Raw genomic sequence first — 22304 nt, 5'->3', positions numbered from 1 at the left:
CCAAGCATGGTGACTCACGCCTGTAATCCCAGCACTTTGGGAGGCCGAAGCAAGTGGATCACTTGAGATCAGGAGTTAGAGACCAACCTGGCCAACATGGTGAAAACCCCATCTCTATTGAAAATACAAAAATTAGCCAGGCATGGTGGGGCATGCCTGTAATCCCAACTACTTGGTAGGCTGAGGCAGGACAATCACTTGAACCTGGGAGGTGGAGGTTGCAGTGAGCTGAGATCATGCCACTGCACTCCAACCTTGGTGACAGAGTGAGACTCCATCTCAAAAAAAAAAAAAAGTAGGCTGGGTATGGTGGCTCACGCCTGTAATCCCAGCACTTTGGGAGGCTGAGGCGGGTGGATCCTTTGAGCCCAGGAGTTCAAGACCAGCCTGGGTAACATAGCAAAACCCCATCTCTACAAAAATACAAAAAAAAAAAAAAAAAATAGCTGGGCATGGTGATGTGCACCTGTAGTCCAGCCACTCAGGAGGCTAAGGTAGGAGGATCGCTTGAGTCCAGGAGGCAGAGATTGCAGTGAGCCAAGATTGTGCCAGTGCATTCTAGCCTGGGCAACAGAGCAAGACCCTATCTTAAAAACAAAATAAGAATGTGTAATTTTAGTAAGAGTTTTTTGATTCACTCCTTTCATATTTAGAAAGGGTTAAGATATACAGCATATTTTTACATTAAGATCTGGCTGGGCATGGTGGCTCATGACTGTTTGTAATCGCAACACTTTGGGAGGCTGAGGTGGGTGGATTGCTTGAGCTCAGGAGTTCGAGACCAGCCTGGGCAACATAGACCCTGTTTCTATTTCATTAAAATTAATTTTTTAAAAAAATCTGTTTTCTTCACTGGGCTTGGTGGCACATGCCTGTAATCCCAGCACTTTGGGAGGCGTAGGCTGGCAGATCGCTTGAGCTCAGGAGTTCAAGACCAGCCTAGGCAATATGATAAAATCCCATCTCTACCAAAAAATACAAAAATGTGGCGTCTGTAGTCCCAGCTACTTGGGAGGCTGAAGCAGGAGGATTGCTTTGAGCTGTGATTGCGCCACTCATCTCTAGCCTGAGTAACAAAGTGAAACTCTGTCTCAAAAAAAAAAAAAAAAAAAACTATTTTCTCGTTCTTATTAAAACAAGACTAGTTTTTTTGTTTTGTTTTGTTTTTGTTTTGAAACAAGGTCTACTACCACCAGGCCTGGCTAATTTTTCTATTTTTTTGTAGAGATGAGAGGTTCAGCATGTTGCCCAGGCTGGTCTCAAACTCCTAGGTTTAAGCTATCCTCCTGCCTTGGCTTCCCAAAGTGCTAGAATTACAGGCATGAGCCACCGGGCCTGGCTCCAAACAGGACTACTTTTAGTAGTATACACCAAAGCAAGCCTGATCATCTTAGAGAATAATTTACAAAATGATTCGTTTAGTTGTTAATTCCAATAGTTGTTTAGTTGAAGTCATAATTTGTATGGCACAGTAATAAAAGCTAACATTTCTTGAGTCATTACTGCATTTCACATTTGTTATCCATTTTAATTCTCACTAGTACTCTTAGATATAGGTGATATTATATCCTCATTTTACCAGACGAGGAAACTGAAGCTTAGAGGTGTTAAATTACTTGCCCCAAGGTCTTGAAACTTAGAAAGTTGCAGGGCCAGGTGCTGTGGCTCACGCCTGTAATCCCAGCACTTTGGGAGGCTGAGGTGGGCAGATTGCCTGAGCTCAGGAGTTTGAGACCAGCCTGGGCAACATGGTGAAACCTTGTCTCTACTAAAATACAAAAGAAATTAGACGGGCATGGTGGCATGCACCTGTAGGGAGGCTGAAGCAGAAGAATTGCTTGAACCCGGGAGGCAGAGGTTGCAGTGAGCCGAGATTGCGCCACTGCACTCCAGCCTGGGCGACAGAGCGAGACTCCGTCTCTAAGAAGAGAAAAGAAAAAAAAAAAAAAAAAAAAGAAAGTTGCAGAACCAGACTTTAAATCTAGGCCTGTCATTCTGCAGAGCCATGCTGAACCATCTAAGCACTACTGCACCATAGTTGCCGTCCCAAACAATTCCAAGTGTGGATTACTACTCTAATGGAGAGGGTGTAGTTAGTAATAAGACTAACTTGGAAAGTTATATGCCCCTCATTGTCTTTACTATTTATTCATCTCTATTTTAAGGTTTATGAGATTTTCGTTTTTAAACATCGTAAAAGGTCTCAGCATAGGTTGTATGCTTATAAAAGGATGGCTTATAATATAGATAGATGGGACTTTTCTTTTTTAACTTTCTTTTTAAAATTGATAATCACATGATTCTAAAATTATATAAAAAGACAGACATTGAAAACTTCAGCTCCTATTTCTGTCACTCTTCTCTACTCCCCCATTGTACCTTCACTCCTTGTGGTAACTCCTTTTATTAGTTTCTTATCTATCCAACCACTGATTCTTTATGCTTCCTTTCAAAGATGCATTTTCTACAAATAGAATCTGGTTTTTTTTTCTTTATCTGCTTCTAATTTTCAATGAGAAGAAAAATCTCTTTAACAAAGGTTTACTCTTCTAGTTCTCTACAGTTTAGCACTTTCCCTTTGGGATGCCTAATTATATATTGGCAGCAAGAATTTGTGTCATGGGTGATTTTTTTAAAATTATTTAATGAAATGGGTCAGTTGTAACAGATCACAGTATATTTGAAAATTATTTTGGGTAGGAAAAAAAGTAGACAGCCCCTCAGAGTATTCTGTGTTTGTGTATGATTTTGAAGATACGTTCTGTGACAGCATTCATTAAAAACCAAAACATGGGTCACGGGCATGGTGGCTCATGCCTGTAATCCCAGCACTTTGGGAGGCCGAGGCAAGTGGATCACTTTAGGTCAGGAGTTCAAGACCAGCCTGGACAACATGGTGAAAGCCCATCTCTACTGAAAATACAAAAAAACTATCTGGGTGTGGTGGCGGGTGCCTGTAATCCCAGCTACTCAGGAGGCTGAGGCAGGAGAATCGCTTGAACCTGGGAGGCGGAGGTTGCAGTGAGCTGAGATCGCATCATTGCACTCCAGCCTGGGCAACAAGAGCGAAACTAAATAATAATAATAATAAAATAATAATAATAATAATAATAAAAACCAAAACATGGTTTGTCACTAGACTGGTCAACATAGTAAGACCCCCATCTCTACAAAGTGATTTTTAAAATATTACCCAGGCATGGTGGCACACACCTGTAGTACCAGCTACTCAGGAGGCTGAGGCAGGAGGATCATTTGAGCCCAGGAGTTTGAAGCTGCAGTGAGCTAGGATTGCACCCCTGCACTCCAGCCTAGGCAACAGAGTGAGACCCTGTCTCAAAAAAACAAAAGAAAACATGATTTTTTTTTTTAAGACAAGGTCTCGCTCTGTCACCCTGGCTGGAGTACAATGGTGCCATCTTGGTTCACTGCAACCTTTGCCTCCCAGACTCAAGTGATCCTCCCACCTCAGCCTCCCTAATAGCTGAGACTACAGGCACACACCACCACACCTGGCTAATTTTTGTATTTTTTGTAGACATGGGGTATTGCTGTGTTACCCAGGCTGGTCTTGAATGTCTGAGCTCAAACAATCCACCCACCTCAGCCTCCAAAGTGTGGGATTACAGGCGTGAGCCACCGCACCCGGCCAAAACATGATCTTTCTAATAATTATGGTCCACTTTTGTTTAAGTCTAATCACTAACTTCCCTTTCTTATTCATTGTAGTTACGGCAGTCCCAGTCCTACTGCACAGACACAGAGTGTCTTCAGGAATGTAAGTACCACTGAGACAGGAGGAAGGATGGCATTGGGGGCAGAATTAGAGGCCAGATGCCTGTGAATATTTGTCAGAATTTATTCTTACATTGCCTATTCTAGTGGTTACCAAAAAAAAAAAAAAAAAAAAAAAAAGCGACACATACGCACAAAAGAAATTATTCTCATAGTTTGCTCTTTAATAAGAAAATGGTTCTCAGTAATGTATTTGCTACTTGACTATTTCATTTTTTAACTTAAAATTTTTTTCATGCCTCAAAAACCCTGCTTATTGCAGAACATTATAAAATAAGTATAAGGAAAAAAAAAGGCTGGGTGCAGTGGCTCACACCTGGAATCCTTGCACTTTGGGAAGCTGAGGCCGGTGGATCGTTTGAGTCCAGGAGTTTGAGATTACCCTGGGCAACACGGGGAAACCCTGTCTCTACAAAAAATACAAAAATTAGTGGGGCATGGTGGTGCATGCCTGCAGCCCCAGCTACTCCTGAGGCTGAGGTGGGAGGATCACCTGAGCCTGGGGAGGTTGAGGCTGCAGTGAGCTGTGATCGCACCACTGCACTCCAACCTGGGTGACTGGAGTGAGACCCTGTCTCAAAAAAAAAAAATAGAAGAACTTCCAGAATAGTTAAAGATAACCACTGTTGACAAATTCGGGTATATCCTAGTCTTTTTTTCTTGGCAAATAAGTCTGTAACAGGGCACTGTGGGCAGGTGTAACTGGGACATCAAAGCTGCTTGCGCAAACCATTCACTCTCTCCCTAACATCTATTTGCATCTGTTGGCAGGCTTGAGAATTCTTTTTTTTTCTTTAATTTAAAAAAATTTTTTTTTAAGAAACAGTGTCTTGCTTTGTCGCCCACACTGAGCGCAATTGTGCGATCATGGCTCACTGCAGCCTTGACCTCCCAGGCTCAAGTGATCCTCCCACCTCAGCCTCCCTAGTAGGTGGGACTACAGGGATGCACCACCATGCATGGCTAATTTTTTAGAATTTTTTGTAGAGTCACGGTCTTCCCATGTTGCCCACATGGGTCTTAAACTCCTGGGATCAAGTGATCCTTCTGCCTCGGCCTCTCAAAGTGCTTGGATTACAGGCGTGAGTCACCATGCCCAGCCACTTGAGAACTTCTTGGTGGGGAGGCCATTCTTTTCCATGTGTGGAAACTTTGGGTGCCTGTGGAGTTCATTCCTTTGGCTCTGACATTAACATGCGCATCAGAGAATTTGGCAGTGGAGAAGTTTCTCCACATGGCTTTATGGGCAGTAGTGATGGTAAAGTGAGAATCAGTAGGAAGATGAATATTGCATGGTATATGTAGGTGACAGACTTAGTGACCATTATGTGACACATCTTTTTTCAGGATACTCAGAAATATTTTGAGAGATGCTTTAAGGGGAACTAGTAAAATAGTATTTAAACCAATCCAGTCTTGTATCAGAAGACTGCAAGAAGGAAAGTATGACATTCACAAGATGGTGAAGCCTGGCATAATTAGATTTCATATAAACTTACAGAAATGGGATCACATTGTATATGTTATTTTTCACTACTTATAAAATATCAACATATATTTGTCTTACTATTTATTGAGCCAGGCATGGTGTCATGCTCCTGGAGTCCCGGCTACTTGGGAGGCTGAGGCAGAAGGATCACTTGAGCCCAGGAGTTTGAGGCTGCAGTGAGCTATGTTCATGCCACTGCACTCCAGCCTGGATGACAAAGTGAGATCCCATCTCAAAAAAAAATTATTAATTAAATAATAATTCATTGTGGGGAAGCACCAGCGTTTAAATGATTTCCTTTTACTAGAACCTTAGGTTGCTGATATATTTTTTGCTATTATAAACAACACTTGAATAAACATTCTTTGTGTGCATATGTTGGGGAGGACAAATAATTTTTTCTTCAACCTCAGAGTTCTTTGCTGAGACACCCTGTAACAAAGGATAGATTGCCGGGCACGGTGGCTCACGCCTGTAATCCTAGAATTTTGGGAGGCTGAGGTGGCCAGATCAGTTGAGGCCAGGAGTTTGAGACCAGCCTGGCCAACATGGAAACCCTGTCTCTACTAAAAATACAAAAATTAGCTGGGCGTGGTGGCACGTGCCTGTAGTCCCAGCTGCTCTGGAGGCTGAGGCACCAGAATCACTTGAACCCAGGAGGCAGAGGTTGCAGTAAGCTGCGATCACACCACTGCACTCCAGCCTGGGTGACAGGGCGAGACTCTCTAAAACAAAGAAAAAAAAACAAAAAAAAGATAGATGAACAAGGAAAAAGCAAATTTATTAATGTGTGTGGCATCACATGGGAGAAAGCTCAATGCAAAGTAACTCAAAGCAGTGGCTCAGAACTCTGGCTTATGTAGCATCTTCAACAAAGAACAATACATTTGTGGAAAAAGGGCAGAACATAGGAAAGAGATTTTAGGCTTCCAAGGATAGGAAACTGGGAAAGTAAATATTTGGGAGGAAACTAATGGAGTAAGGTTTGTTTATAGACTCCTCTGGTGCTGTCTCTGGACTATTAAGTCTGTAGGGTTGTGTATAAAGGAGAATTTGTATCCTACCTTTAGGCAGAAAAGAGGGGAATAGAGGGAGCTTTTCTTCTGTTTGCTACTTCCTAATTGCCTACAGCTCAAAAATAATTTCTTTTTTTCTTTTTTTCTTTTTTTTTTGAGACAGAGTCTCGCTTTGTCGCCCAGGCTGGAGTGCAGTGGCTCAGTCTCAACTCACTGCAACCTCCGCCACCCAGGTTCAGGCAATTCTAGTGCCTCAACCTCCCAAGTAGCTGGGATTACAGGCATGAGCCACCGTGCCTGGCTTCTCCAAAATAATTTCTATGTCAAAAAGGCATATTTTGGAGTGATACGTTCTGGTTTTCTTCACACATTTTAAGGCTATTTACATATTGCCAAATTGCATTTATTAGTAGGTTAGTTGCTGATACGTAACATCTCTGAAGCAGAGCTGCCTGTTTATTATATATATGAAACTGAAACAAGACGCAGTAAGGTAATTGTAAAGAGACTTGTTATACATTATGATTTTTATTACTTTGTGTACTGGGTGTCCCATCAAATTCCACAGATATAACAGCTTAGAGAAGTGGGAGCTAGTGCAGTGCCTAGCCTAAAGTAGAAATTTTGTGGGAACCTAGTCCATTTGGGTGATATATATGCCTTCAAGACAAGAAAGCAATAGAAATGTGCATTGTTAGGACAATGGGTGGTGGTTCCCTCCCTCCAGACTTCTTTACTTCTCCAGTAGCATTCATTAATCTACAATGTACAGCTCAAATATTTGCCTCAACAGGTAAAGCTAAAACCTGTTTTCCTAGTTGAAAATAATTTTATTGAACCTCCCCATGGGAAAACACGTGTTTATTACATGTGCGGCTTTTGTGACTCTTTAACCAGCCCCGCCTATAACCAAATATAGTCATTCCTGTGGGTAAAATGTCACTTCCTAACTCTAAAAAGAAAGGTGAAACTTTGAACATTCATTTAGGCATATTGGCAAGTTTTTCTTTCCCCCCAGTTCTTTTAGCAGTTGGTAAAAATCCTTTCTGAGAGCTAGGCTTTTAAATGGTTAAACAGTAGTTTACTGTGAGGGATAGAATTATTTTTCTTATATTCTAAATTTTCTCCAGTGAGCTTATACTTTTTTCTTAAAATAATAAAACATATTTTGTAGCTATCTTTATATTTAGATACTACTATTCAATTGGATAGTATTGTGCTACTATTCAATTGGAAAAAGTTATTTTTTAAAATTAAATATATGTTTTAGGATCGTGGGAATTTGAGGCTTCTTAAGAATTGAAATAAGCCTTGAAGAAATACGTTTTATTCTCTTCTGACTTTTTTAAATTGGTTGCTTTCGTTCATTTCTGCCTTTTATTTCTGTAGTTGTATTTTGTATATATTCCATTGTCTTATTTTTTTACTCTTCCCCTTTTCATAGGTGTTATTCCATTGTTTTAGAACAGTGTTTAATCATTGTGATATCAGAAATATCATTTATTCATTTAGTCATAGAAGCAGCTGCTAGGTAGAGTCAATGTTGTTAAAACACAGACCAAAGAGTAAATGGTGGAGAAATATATACATGTATATGTTCTTTTTTTTTTTTTTGAGAAGGAGTCTTGCTCTGTTGCCCAGGCTGGAGTGTAGTGGCACAATCTTGGCTCACTGCAACTTCCGCCTCCCAGGCTCAAGCTATTCTCCTGCCTCAGCCTCCCAAGTAGCCAGGATTACAGGAATGCACTACCACACCTGGCTAATTTTTTGTATTTTTAGTAGAGATAGGGTTTCGCCATGTTGGCCAGGCTGATCTCAAACTCCTGACCTCAAGTGATCCACCCACCTCCGCCTCCCAAAGTGCTGGGATTACAGGCGTGAGCTACCGCGCCCGGCCTGTATGTTCTTATTTATACAATCTATTTGGGCTTTAACATTTGGCACTGAATATGGTTTGGGGTGTTTTTGTTTGTTTTTTGTTTTGTTTTGAGACAGGGTCTCACTTTGTCACCCAGGCTTGAGTGCAGTGGAGCAAACAGGGCTCACTGAATCTTGACCTTCCAGGCTCAGTAATCCTCCCACTTCAGCCTCCTGAGTAGCTGGGACTACAGGAGCATACAACCATGCCCAGCTAATTTTTTTTTTCCTTTCTTTTGAGACGGAGTCTTGCTCTTGTTGCCCAAGCTGGAGTGCAATGGCATGATCTCAGCTCACTGCAACCTCCACCTCCCAGGTTCAAGCGATTCTCCTGCCTCAGCCTCCTGAGTAGCTGGGATTATAGGCGCCTGCCACCACACCCGGCTAATTTTTGTATTTTTAGTAGAGATGGGGTTTCGCCATGTTGGCCAGGCTGGTCTCGAACTCCTGACCTCGTGATCCGCCCACCTCAACCTCCCAAAGTGCTGGGATTACAGGTGTGAGCCACCATGCCCGGCCTAATTTTTGTATTTTTTGTAGAGACAGGGTTTTGCATGTTGCCCAGGCTGGTCTCGAACTCCTGAGCTCAAGCAGTCCACCTGCCTTGGCCTCCCAAAGTGCAGGGATTACAGGCATGAGCTGCCACACCTGGCCCATTTTGAGTACTTAGCATACAATTCTTAGCCTTCTGCTTCTTCCTGATAAAGTTGTAATCTGAGAAATTATCTAGTTTCAGCCTTTAATAACTAAATCTTCTCCATATTTCCCATGTCACATTTTTTTCCTATTGTCACATTGCGGCTTCCTTTTTTTTTTTTTTTTTTTTTTTTTTCTTTTTTTGAGATGGAGTTTTGCTCTGTCGCCCAGGCTGGAGTGCAATGGCGCAATCTCGGCTTACTACAACCTCCACCTCCTGGACTCAAGCAGTTCTCCTGCCTCAGCCTCCCAAGTAGCTGGGATTACAAGCGTGTACCAGCATCCCCAGCTAATTTTTGTTTTTTGTTTTTTTTGAGATGGAGTCTCACACTGTCACCAGGCTGGAGTGTAGTGGTACAATCTCAGCTCACTGCAACCTCCACCTCGCAGGTTCAAGCGATTCTCCTGCCTCAGCCTCCCGAGTAGCTGGGACTACAGGTGCACGCCACCACGCCTGGCTAATTTTTGTACTTTTAGTAGAGACAGGGTTTCACCATGTTGGCCAAAATGGTCTCGATCTCTTGACCTCATGATCCGCCTGCCATGGCCTCCCAAAGTGCTGGGATTATAGGCGTGAGCCACCACGCCTGGCCTAATTTTTGTATTTTTAGTAGAGACAGGGTTTCTGTATGTTGCCGAGGCTGGTCTTGAACTCCTGACCTCAGGTGATCCACCCACCTCAGCCTCCCAAAGTGCTGGGATTACAGGCATGAGCCATTGTGCCTGGCTGCATTGCGGCTATCTGCTGTCTTCTTTCTCGGTGCGTCTGTCTGTCCTCCAGACCTCTTAACTTTTATCCTTGGAATGCTCCAGGACTTAGCCCCTGGATTATTTCCTTTTCTAGACATTCACTCACTTGGTGATCTCATCTGGTCTCATGACTCATTACTTGTATGCTGATGACTGTCTTTTGGGCATTTCCACTGGGATGTCTAACAAGGCACCTCAAATTCAACATCTTCAGAATTTCTGCTTCTCTTGAGATCCTTCCTATAACAGTTAATGGCAGTTCTATCCTTCTGAGACTCATCCTTGGCTTCCCTTTTTCTCACACTGTCCAGTCATCTATCAGCAAGCACTATCTTGAAGATACATCCAAAATTCTACCACTTCTCACTATCCCACTGCCTCCTCCCTGTTCTAGGCCATCATCATCTCGTATGTTAATAGATTATTGCAACAGGTTCTTAACTGTCTGTATTAGTCAGTCTTCACACTGCTAATTTAAGACATACCCAAGACAGGGCAATTTACGAAAGAAAAGGGTTTATTGGACTTACAATTCCACATGTCTGGGGAGGCCTCACAATCATGGCGGAAGGTGAAAGGCATGTCTTACATGGTGGCAGTCAAGAGAAGAGAGCTTGTGCAGGGAAACTCCCCTTTTTAAAACCATGAGATCTCGTGAGACTTGTTTACTATCATGAGAAGAGCGCAGGAAAGGCCCGCCCCCCATAATTCAATCACCTCCCACCAGGTTCCTCCCATGACATATGGGAATTGTGGGAGTTACAATTCAAGATGAAATTTGGGATGGGACACAGCCAAACCATATCACTGTGTTTCTGTTTCTCGTTTTTCAAAACACAACAGATGGAGTGGTTCTGTCAAAATGAGAGTCAGATATCATCTGCATTTTGCTCAGAACTCTTCAGTGGTGTCTGGGCACAGTGGATCACACTTGTAATCCCATTTTAGGAGGCCAAAGCAGGCAGATCACTTGGGCTCAGGAGTTCAAGACCAGCATAGGCAACATGTTGAAATCCTGTCTCTACAAAAAATATAAAACTTAGCTAGGCGTGGTGGCCTGTGCCTATGCCCCAGCTACTCTGGATGCTGAGTTAGGAGATCACTTGAGCCTGGGAGGTTGAGGCTGCAGTGACTGTAATTGAGCCACTGCACTCCAACCTGGGTGACAGAGTGAGACCCTGTCCAAAAAAAAGAAAAGCCCTCTTCAGTGGTTTTCTATTTAATATGTAATAGAAGCTTATTATGACCTATAAGGCCAACATGATCTGAATCCTGTTACTCTTTTGATTTAATCTTTTTCTTTTCTTTTCTGGAGACAAAGTCTTACTCTGTTGCCCAGGCTGGAGTAAAGTGGTGCAATCATGGCTTGCTGCAACCTCAACCCCTTGGGCTCAAGCAATCCTCCCACCTCAGCCTCCTGATTAGCTGGGACCACAGGTGTGTGCCACCACACTTGGCTGATTTTGTTTGTTTTTTATTTTGTAGAGATAGGACCTCATTATGTTGCCAAGGCTGGTCTTGAACTCCTGGCCTCAAGTGATTCTCCCACCTCAGCTTCCCAAAGTGCTGGGATTACAGGCGTGAGCCACCACACCCAGCTTAATCTTTTTCTTATATCCCACCTCACTATACCACCAATCCCAGGTCACTTCACTTCAGCCACATTGGCCTCCATGAACATCCCACAGGCTCCTGAATCAGGAGTTCTCGCTGTTCCTTGTGCCTGAAATGTGCTTCTTTCGGATAATCTCACAACTGACAGCCTCACTTTCTTTACATTTTCACTCCAGAGTGCCTTCTTAGTGAGGCTTCCCTTAGCCCCCTGCTTAAAAGTCATGTATTTCATTTTTAATAGAATCCTTTAAACAAAAGAGAGGATGCTTTCCATTCAGGTTATCTTTATCTAAAAAACGCTAATCTGAAATAACACTATGGGGCACCCTCGCAGAACACAATATGAAAGTATAGGTTGAATATCCCTTATTTGAAATGCTTGGAGCCAGAAGTGTATTCAGTTTCAGATTTTTTCAGATTCATTTACCAGTTGACCATCCCTAACCTGAAAATGTGAAATGTTCCGATAAGCATTTCTTTTGAGCATGATGTCAGCTCTCAAAAAGTTTTGGATTTTGGAGGATTCTAGATTTTTAGAGTAGGAATACTCAGCCTGTAGGAGAATAACAGATCTACATTAGGGAATGATAGAGATCACCCTTGACTCAGCTTGAAAACTGGTAGCTGTGCTTAGGATAATGTAATTACTGTATAGGACCAAAAACTACAGGGTTAGAGCATACCGGTGTATTGTCCACTTTCACTGCTGTTCTGTTTTTGCTTTCCCCAGCGGAAACCTATATAAGTTTATACAAATAATCTTCTGAGGATGGGCCAGCTCTTAGAGCCTCTGTCTCTACCTTTTCATCCTCTTGGTATCCAGCTAAGTTAACAGCTTCATTGTGAATATTCCATTTGGCATTTTATTTGTGAGGCAGGGGAATTGCTTGAAACTGGGAGGCGGAGGTTGCAGTGAGCCAAGATGGTGCCACTGCACTCCAGCCTGGTGACAGAGCAAGACTCCGTCTCAAAATAATAATAATAGAAGAAGAAGAAGAAGAGGAAGAGAAGGGGAAGAAGAAGAGGAGGAGGAGGAAGAGGAGAAAGAAAAAAGAAAAAGAAACTTGAGGCTCAGGGATTATATACCTAAGAGGTGGTACAGTCAAACAGCTATGAGATGGTCTCAGTTCTTAAAAAGTTAATTAGGAGAGACGGGAAACCATTCCTTCAAACTAGAAATGCTATACTAGTCCAGAGAAGGCAGAGGAAAAAGTGGGTGGAGGAAATGGAGATTTTTATGGAAGAGGGATGTAGGTTATAGGTGAATAAATGGAGTTAGTTGTAAGAACATGCCAGACAGGGAAATAACGAGTACCCCAGGAAGACTGAATTTGCATAGTTGGCAAATGCTGCCAGACAAGTTCGCATTCAACTGTTGCATCAGATTCATTTGGAAAGCTTTTAAAAAATATTGTTGGCTCCTGATCCCACCCCGAAGCTGCTCCTGAATCAGATGGTCTTAGGCAGTGCCTTAGAATCTGTGGTGTTGATACTGTCACAGGCTATTCTGATGCATAGCCAGGCCAGGGAATCCTTGGCTAGAGAAAGAAGAGGGGCCGGGGGCGGTGGCTCATGCCTGTAATCCCATCACTTTGGGAGGCTGAGGTGAGTGGATCACCTGAGATCAGGAGTTCGAGACCAGCCTGGTCAACATGGTGAAACCCAGTCTCTACTAAAAATACAAAAAATTAGCCGGGTGTGGAGGCGAGCACCTGTAATCCCAGCTACTTGGGAGGCTGAGGCATGAGAATCACTTGAACCCGGGAGGCAGAGGTTGCAGTGAACAGAGATTGTGCCATTGCACTCCAGCCTGGCCAGCAAGAGTGAAACTCCGTCTCAAAAAAAATAAAAAAAAGAAGAGGTATGGGGGTGACTAGAGCAGAGGATGCATTTTCTGAGAAGTGGTAAGAGGTAAGATTAGATGAGTAAGGCCCAATCATATGAGGAAAGGCTGAGCTAAAGAACTTAGAGTTGCTGGGCACAGTAGCTCATGCTTATAATCCTAGCACTTTGCGAGGCTTAGGTGGGTGGGTTGCTTGAGCTCAGGAGTTAGGGACAAGCCTTGGCAACATGGCAAAACACCGTCTCTACTAAAAATACAAAAATTAGGGTCAGGTGGGGTCGCTCATGCCTGTAATTCCAGAACTTTGGGAGGCCAAGGTGGGCAGATCACTTGAGCTCAGGAATTCGAGATCAGCCTGGGCAACATAGTGAGACCCTGTCTCTAAAAAATAAAAAAAGTTTTAAAAATATAAAAAAATTAATTGGGCATGGCAGCATGCGCCTACAATTTCAGCTACTCAGGAGGCTAAGGTGAGAGGATCACTTGAGCCTGGGAGGCAAAGGTTGCAGTGAGCTGTGATTGTGCCACTGCACTCCAGCCTGGGAGACAGAGTGAGACACTGACTCAATAAAAACAGAAAAACCCCAGAGTTGAAACAGTAGGCAGTGGAAACTGAGTTACCACATTGATCAGCAGAGATGTGTTAAGAGCAGAGGGGATTTTTTGTTTGTTTGTTTGTTTGTTTGTTTGGGGGTTGAGACAGGGTCTGTCTCTGCCACCCTGGCTGGAGTGCAGTTGTGTGATTACAATTCACTGCAGCCTTGACCACCTGGGCTTAAGTGATCCTCCCACCTCAGCCTCCCGAGTAGCTGGGATTACAGGCCTGCACCACCACACTCAGCTAATTTTTTAATTTTTTTTGTAGAGACAGGGGTCTCACTATGTTGCCCAGGCTGGTCTCAAACGCCTGGGCTCCAGGGATCCTCCTGCCTCGGCCTCCTAGAGTGCTGAGATCACAGCCATGAGCCACTGTATCCAGCCAAGAACAGTTTTAAGCAGACTTTTCTGGCAGCAGTAAGCAAGAAGGAAAAGCTGCAATAGGAACCAAGCTAGGAGATAGTTAAGGGAACTACGAGTCATATTACTATTGTGAGATTCTAAAAAAGAAGTGGACATTACTATTTGGTTGTTGTTGTTGTTGAGATGGAGTCTCACTATGTTGCCCAGGCTGGAGTGCAGTGGCACGATCTCGGCTCACTGCGACCTGTCTTCCGGGTTCGAGCAATTTTTCCGCTACAACCCCCCAAGTAGCTGGGATTACAGGTGTGCACCACCATGCTTGGCTAATTTTTGTATTTTTAGTAGAGATGGGCTTTGGTAGAGATGGCCAACACCATGTTGGCCAGGCTGGTGTTGAATTCCAGACCTCAGGTGATGCACCTGCCTTACCTTCCCAAAGTGCTGGGACTACAGGTGTGAGCCACCGTGCCCGGCGTGAGATTCTAAAAAAGAATCAGGGATCCTTTGTCTAGAAATAAGAATTAGTAAACTTGGAATCTGAGGTTTAACTCTCTTAAGCTTCAGAATTTTTTACTTGCAAAGAATATTAAAAAGTCATGGCTGGGCATGACTACTGACTGACACCTGTAATCTCAGCTCTTTGGGAAACCAAGGCAGGAGGATTGCATGAGGCCAGAAGTTCAGCACCAGCCATTTTGCCCAGGCTGGTCTTGAGCTCCTGAGCTCAAGGGATCTTCCTGCCTTGGCCTCCCAAAGTGCTGGGATTACAGGCATGAGCCCCATCAGGTCTGGCCTTAACTATTATTTAAAATAAAAATAATAGTATAGGTTGAATATCCCTAATCTGAAAATTTGAAGTGCTCCAAAATCTGAAACTTATTCAGTGCTGACATGATGCTCAAAGGAAATGCTCATTGGAACATTTCAGATTTTGGATTTTAGGATTAGGGCTGCTGAACCAATAAGTATATTGCATATATCCCCAAATCTGAAAAAATCCGAATTCTGAAACACTTGTATTCCCAAGCATTTCACACAGGGAAACTCAACATGTATTTGCTTTTAAAAAAAAAGAAAAAAAAATCACTCTGGAAACAATATAGAGCACAGGGGAAGCAGGAGTAGATATAGGGAGATCCCTTAAGAGGCCACTGCAATAGACCAGATAAGAGGTTATGGTAGCTTGAGCAGGTGGGGACATGGAGCTAAAAGTGGGCAGATACAAGTGATATTTAGGAGGAAAAATTGCAAGAAACTTCATGATGGATTAAATACAGGGCTGTTGAGAAAGAAAAAAGGTGTTTTCTTAGGTTCTGCCCTGGGCAACTGGATGAACAGAGATCCAGTTTGGTAGTTGGGGTGGAAGGGGGTAGGGCGGGGGAGATGCTCATGATTTTTGTTTGGAATACTAAAGTACTGAATATGTTAAGTGGAAGGTGGGATTTCTGCATTTTGTTTTGTTTTGTTTGAGACGGGGTCTTGCTCTGTCGCCAGGCTGGAGTGCAGTGGCGCGATCTCAGCTCACTGCAACCTCTGCTTCACGGGTGATCTCTTGACCTCGTGCTTCCTGGATTTCTGCATTTTTAAGAAGTTTTCAGTTGACTCTGATATATACCATAGTTTAAGAACTATTGATGTTGGCTGATTGCGGTGGCTCATGCCTGTAATCCCAGCATTTTCGGAGGCCAAGGCAGATGGATCACCTGAGGTCAGGAGTTTGAGAACAGCCTGGCCAACATGGTGAAATCCCAGCTCTACTACAAATAAAACCCAGGAGGCAGAGGTTGTAGTGAGCGGAGATCGCGCCACTGCACTCCAGCCTGGTGACAGAACGAGATTCCATCTCAAAAAAAAAAAAAAAAGAAAAGAAAAGAACTGTTGATATAAAGAAAAAGAGAATTATTGATGAAGGAGTGTCCAACTGTTAGACAATGGTAGTGACACAGAAGACAATGGAAGAAAGTGTTTGTTTTTGTTTTTGTTTATGTTTTGAGACAGTGTCTGGCTCTGTTGCCCAGGCTGGAGTGCAGTGGTGCAATTACAGCTCACTGCAACCTCCACCTCCTGGGCTCAAGCCATCCTCCCACCTCAGCCTCCTGAGTAGCTGGGACCGCAGGCACACACCACCACACCCGGCTATTTTTTTTTTTTAATTTTTTGTAGATACGGGTTTTTGTCATGTTGCCCAGGCTGGTCTCAAACTCCTGAGTTCAAGGGATCTGCCCGCCTTGGCCTCTCAAAGTGCTGGGATTACAGACATGAGCTGCCACGCCCGGCCTGTTTAGCTGTTTCTAGGGAAGTGACTGGGTTTGGAACAGAGGCTACATTCCTATCCATCCTGCTCTTAGGCCAGCTCAGCTCTTTTTAATATATATTTTGTACTAATTTGTTTGCCATAAGACTTCGTTGCAGCAGGGCCAGCGCAACTCTTAACTTGACTTTGTCCGCTTTTATCACTAGCCTTTTGGCCTCAGCAGTGCCACCAATTCCTTCCCTTTTGTGGAATTGAGCCCTGGACCCACTGACCCAATGCAGTGTATCAGATTAGTTTCAACATCTTATCTGGATTTCTTTTACTTTTTCCTGAGGCAAGGAGATCAAAACCAAACAGCTGTGGTCTTGACAAGCTGTTTTAGTAATCACCTAGGGATACTACATTTTCCTCTAGAAATCTAATCTATAATTTTTATTTCTTTTTCTTTTCCTTTCTTTTCTTTTTTTTTTTTGACAGGGTCTTGCTCACTCGCCCAGGCTGGAGTGCAGTGGTGTAATCTGAGCTCACTACAACCTCTGCCTTCTGGGTTCAAGCAATTCTCGTGCCTCAGCCTCCTGGGTAGCTGGGACTACAGGCTCACGCCACCCCACCCAGCTAATTTTCGTAGAGATGTTGCAGTCTCACCAATGCACCTTCATATATTGGTTTCTCTTGTGAGGTATCACCCTGAGTTCTTTGTCTCGCCTCTAAAATGATTAAGGAGCATGGTCACAAGGGTGAAGTTGGAGCGAAAATGTAATAAGCAAAAGGAGAAAGCTCTCTGCAGAGAGGGGAGTCCAAGTGGATAGCTTGGTTACAGCTGAATGCAAAATGCTTTTATAAGAAACTGCAGCCAGGCGCGGTGGCTCATGCCTGTAATCCCAGCACTTTGGGAGGCCGAAGCAGGCAGATCACGAGGTCAGGAGTTTGAGACCAGCCTGGCCAACATGGTGAAACCCCATCTCTACTAAAGATACAAAAAGTTAGCCAGGCATGGTGGCATGTGCCTGTAATCCCAGCTACAGGGGAGACTGAGACAGGAGAATTGCTTGAACCCGGGAGGTGGAGGTTGCAGTGAGCTGACATGCCATTGTATTCCAGCTTGGACGACAGGGCAAGACTCTGTCTCAAAAAAACAAACAAAAAAAAGAAACTGCTCTCCTCCTTGTAACTGATTGAGTAATTTTTCTTTTTCGAAAAGCTGTCTGTGCAACTCCCTTTTTCCAGCTGTGGGATTGTTTCTAAGCACAAAGCACAGCTTCTCTTCTTTGTATAACTGGGTTTTTTTAGGTAAGCCCACTCCGCCCTATGCAAGTTCCCACGGAGCCCACTGTGTATATGCCTGAAAAGGGGAGGAAACTTTTTCCTGGGAGCTCACTGATTGTACAAAGAACAAAAAGGCTTGTTTGCTTTACTGGCTGCTTATCTGTCCAGGCTTATCTGTGCAGCTGCAGCAGCTGTGATTTTTCAGGCAAGCACTTCTAGGGGCCCAGCCTTAACTGTTTACCTAATGGATTTTTCCTTTTCTTCTCCCTCAGAGATGGGGTTTCACCATATCGCCCAGGCTGGTCTCGAATTCCTGAGCTCAAGCAATCCACCCATCTTGGCCTTCCAAAGTGCTGGGATTACAGGCGTGAGCCAGTGCACCTGGCCATTTTTATTTCTGAAAATTGAGTTCTCTAATATACTTCAATAAAAAATCTACGTTTCATTTATTAGAAATTTGTTAACCTCATATCATGGGTCAGGCACTGTGCTAGGCACTTGTTATTTCAAATTAAATAAGACGTGGCTATGTCAAGGAACCAGGAAAAACTGATGCCTGTATACGCACATACATCCCTGTCTAGCATTTTTCTCTTGATAAATAGAAAAAATTGATAGAAGAGAAAAATTGATAAAATTTTAAAATATCTAGATCTGAATTCAACTCCTTTGTGTGAAAAAGAAGGTCAAATTAATCTCTTTGGTTGAGACTGTAATTCAAGGGGTCTTTTAATGTATATATTACGCAGCCCAGATGTCCCCTTTCTTTTTCATGATGCCTCTGTAATTAAGAAGCAGATTTTTCCCCCCAAAGGAGAGTGTTTTTTCTGTGGTCTTAACTTGGATTCATATGGATTCGTGGCTTTGTGGGTTCTTAAACCTTCCACAATTATATACAAAATTGTGGAATTTGGTATACATGAGTGCTTTTCATATTTATTTTTAATCCAGAATGGATCAAAAAGAACAATCATGAAGGATGTAGGTGCCAGACACAGGGCAGAAGGTAGCTAGAAAAGTAGATCTTAGGGAAGTTAGGGCCCCTAGCCTCATTAATCTACAAACATGGCATGGCCGGCTTGCCTTGCAAGACCTCAGTTGAAGACCCCATGAATTCTTAAAATGGAAAGAGTTCTTAATTTTTATCAAATTCTCAAATGATTCTGTTACCCCAAAATATTAAGAATTATTATACTATTAAAAAATGTGTTAGAGACTAGTCCAGGCAACATAGTGAGACGTCGTCACTACTAAAAATTTTAAAAAAAATTAGGGGTGTGGGGCAGGACACAGTGGCTCACACCTGTAATCCCAGCCCTTTGGGAGGCCAAGGCAGGTGGATCACCTGAGGTCAGGAGTTCGAGACCAGCCTGGCCAACATGGTGAAACCCCGTCTCAACTAGAAATACAAAAATTAGCTGGGCATGGTGGCGCATGCCTGTAATCCCAGCTACTCAGGAGGCTGAGGCAGAATTGCTTGAACTTGGGAGGCAGAGGTTGCAGTGAGCCAACATTGTCCCACTGCACTCTGGCCTTGGCAACAGAGTGAGACTCCATCTCAAAAAAAAAAAAAAAAATTGTTAGAGACCAGCCCAGGCAACATAGTGTCTCTACTAAAAATAAAAATTAAAAATTAGGTGCATGGGGCATGGTGGCACACACCTGTAGTCCCAGCTACTCAGGAGGCTGAGGTGAGAGGATCCCATGAACATAGAAGGTTAAGGCTGTAGTGAGCTATGGTTGTGCCACCGCACTCCAGCCTGTTTGATAGAGCAAGACCCTGTCTCAAAAAACAAAAACAACAAAAACTTACTAAGTTTTGGTTTATGACTATTTAACATCATTTACTTTTTAGATGTTCTCACTGGGGGAAAGGGAAATTGAAGATATAATATGTACTTTTGTAATTTATCAATACAATTTTTATATTAATACAGTAATTGAAACTGACATTTAAACATTAGAATTTGTTTTTACTTTTAACAATATTGTGAGCATGCTACATTTTTTGTTTGTCTTTAGTACCGGGACCCTCTGGTGATAATGGCATCAGTGTTACAATGATCTTGGTAGCCTGGATGGTTATTGCATTGATCTTGTTCTTACTGAGACCTCCTAATCTAAGAGGATCCAGCCTACCTGGAAAGCCAACCAGTCCTCATAATGTAAGTGTTGCAGATTTTAAATGCTTTTTGGGTAAGGGAATGTATGTGGCCTGGGGCAGGGAAGGACTTGGTTTTGACTAAAACACCTAAATTAGTTAAATTATATTTAACTCATAGAGTATTCTACCTATGTAGTTCTATTAAATATTGCAATTCCAAGATTTAATTGACAGCTTAATCTTTATGGAGTTAAATGCAGAAAGAAGCACAGACCAGAAGCCCAAAATTAATTTGAAAATGAATTCCAATCCTTTTTTTTTTTTTTCAGACAGGGTCTTGCTGTGCCGCCCAGGCTGGACTGCACTGGTGCGATCTTAGCTCACTGAAGCCTCCACCTCCTAGGCTCCCACCTCAGCCTCCCAAGTAGTTGGGACCACAGGCATGCACTAGCACACCTGGCTAGTTTTTTGTATTTTTTTGTAGAGATGGGGTTTTGCCAGGTTGCCCAGGCTTGAATTCTAATCTTTACTCACATGAGAAGCATCAAAAATAATCCATTTCATAATCCACAGCAATATTGCTCAAGTCTCAATCCTCCACTACCCAGTTCTGTCCACCTCACAGTTGATCCCTTGCCTCTCATGCTTCCAGCCCCTAAACTCTTAGTAGCTTTAGTTGAAATGTTTGACCCCCTTCTGTCCTAGCTATTCAGTAGAGACACTGAGCCTGTCTTATTTTATTTTCCTCATTTTCCCATCCTATTTCTCTCAAACCCATTTTCCATTTCTGTACCACAGTAAATCAGCTGAGCTGGCAAAAGGAGAGGTCGGAATCATTCATGTTGATAAATCTTGATAGTCATGATTACAACCATTTTTAGAACCTTCTAAATTAAAACTATGATAAAGTGACCCAATAGGGAGTTTTCAGGACTATCTTTAAGAGAACCTCTGTTGGCCAGGCACTGTGGCTCACGCCTGCAATCCCAGCACTTTGGGAGGCCAAGGGGGGCGGATCACCTGAGCTCCGGTGTTCAAGACCACCCTGGGCAACATGGTGAAACCCTGTCTCTACTAAAATACAAAAAATTAGCCAGACATGGTGGCATGCGCCTGTAGTCTCAGCTACTCAGGAGGCCGAGGCATGAGAATCGTTTGAGCTCAGGAGGCAGAGGTTGCAGTGAGCCAAGATCACACCACCACACTCCAGCTTGGGCTACAGAGTGAGACTATGTCTCAAAAAAAAAAAGAACCTCTGTTAAAGGATTCCTTTTAATCCTTTTCAGAACCAGTATTTATGTTTTTTTTTTAACACTGAATTTGAATATTATCTCTTTAAAAATATTTCCATGAGGCCGGGCGCGGTGGCTCATGCCTGTAATTCCAGCACTTTGGGAGGCCAAGATGGGCGGATCACCTGAGGTCAGGAGTTCGAGACCAGCCTGGCCAACATGGTGAAACCCTGTCTCTAGTAAAAATACAAAAATTAGCTGGGCCTGGTGGTGGGCACCTGTAATCCCAGCTACTCGGGAGGCTGAGGCAAGAGAATTGCTTGAACCCAGGAGATGGAGGTTGCAGTGAGCCAAGATCGTGCCATTGCACTCCAGGCTAGGCGGTGAGAGTGAAACTTCGTCTCAAAAAAAAAAAAAAAAAAAAAATTCCATGAATTTGCCAGTTACCTCTATTTAGCCATTCTACAAATGTATACATATTTCAAAACATGTTGTATATGACAAATATATACAATTTTTATTTGTCAATTTAAATAAATGTTAAAATTTATAATTAAAAAACTATAAGGTAATAGAGCATCAAAAAAAAAAAAAAAAAAAAAGGAAAATTTCCATGATAGATTTGCTTGTTTTTGTTGTTTTTTTTTTTGAGATGGAGTCTCACTCTGTCCTCCAGGCTGAAGTGCATTGGTACAATCTCAGCTCACTGCAGCCTCTGCCTCCCAGGTTCAAGTGATTCTCCTGCCTCCACCTACCGAGTAGCTGGGATTACAGGTGCACGCCACCACATCTGGCTAATTTTTGGATTTTTAGTAGAGATGGGGTTTCACCATGTTGGCCAGGCTGGTCTCAAATTCCTGACCTCAAGTGATGTGCCTGCCTCGGCCTCCCGAAGTACTGGCATTACAGATGTGTGTCACCACACCTGGCTAATTTTTGTATTTTTAGTAGATACAGGGTTTCGCCACGTTGGCCAGGCTGGTCTTGAACTCCTAACCTCAGGTGCTGTGCCTGCATTTGCCTCCCAAAGTGCTGGTATTACAGGCATGAGCCACCATGCCCGGCCAGATTCACTTGTATACCAAATTATCCCACTAATTCTCTTTTCCAACCTTTACCTTGTGGAATTCCTAAAATAATTGTTTCTTTTCTCCAGTGTTGTGGTGTTGATATCAGAAGTTCAGTTAGACTCATTTTTTATATAAGAGAAAGCAAATGTGCAGTGTTAATTGGTCAATGTTTTGCTTTGTTTTTTAAGGAATAGAACATTTAGATATGTAGCATAGAAAGAAAAAAAATCAAAACGAAAAACATACACAAAAAAGATACGTAGCATGCTAACTTTAAGAAAGAAGGCATTATAGACCA

General features: G+C 42.9%; 1 protein-coding gene and 1 long non-coding RNA gene across 8 annotated transcripts in view; one reads left to right on the top strand and one right to left on the bottom strand.

The window, feature by feature from the left end:
• The window catches only part of UGDH-AS1 (UGDH antisense RNA 1), a 66869-nt gene that overhangs the window by 18515 nt on the left and 26050 nt on the right, over positions 1–22304 (bottom strand). The gene's annotated exons all lie outside the window — the stretch shown is intronic.
• Positions 1–22304, top strand: part of SMIM14 (small integral membrane protein 14) — a 92530-nt gene that overhangs the window by 62673 nt on the left and 7553 nt on the right. For all 7 annotated transcript variants that reach the window (NM_174921.3, XM_047449746.1, NM_001317896.2 and 4 more), the window contains 2 exons: positions 3730–3778; positions 19623–19765. In NM_174921.3, the coding sequence (NP_777581.1) occupies positions 3730–3778; positions 19623–19765 (192 nt within the window). The remainder of the gene's footprint in view (positions 1–3729; positions 3779–19622; positions 19766–22304) is intronic.

Source organism: Homo sapiens, chromosome 4, assembly GCF_000001405.40.
Source record: "Homo sapiens chromosome 4, GRCh38.p14 Primary Assembly".
Classification (NCBI taxonomy): Eukaryota; Metazoa; Chordata; class Mammalia; order Primates; family Hominidae; genus Homo; species Homo sapiens.
Note: the sequence above shows the minus strand (reverse complement) of the source record. Positions and strands in the feature narration are given on the sequence as shown.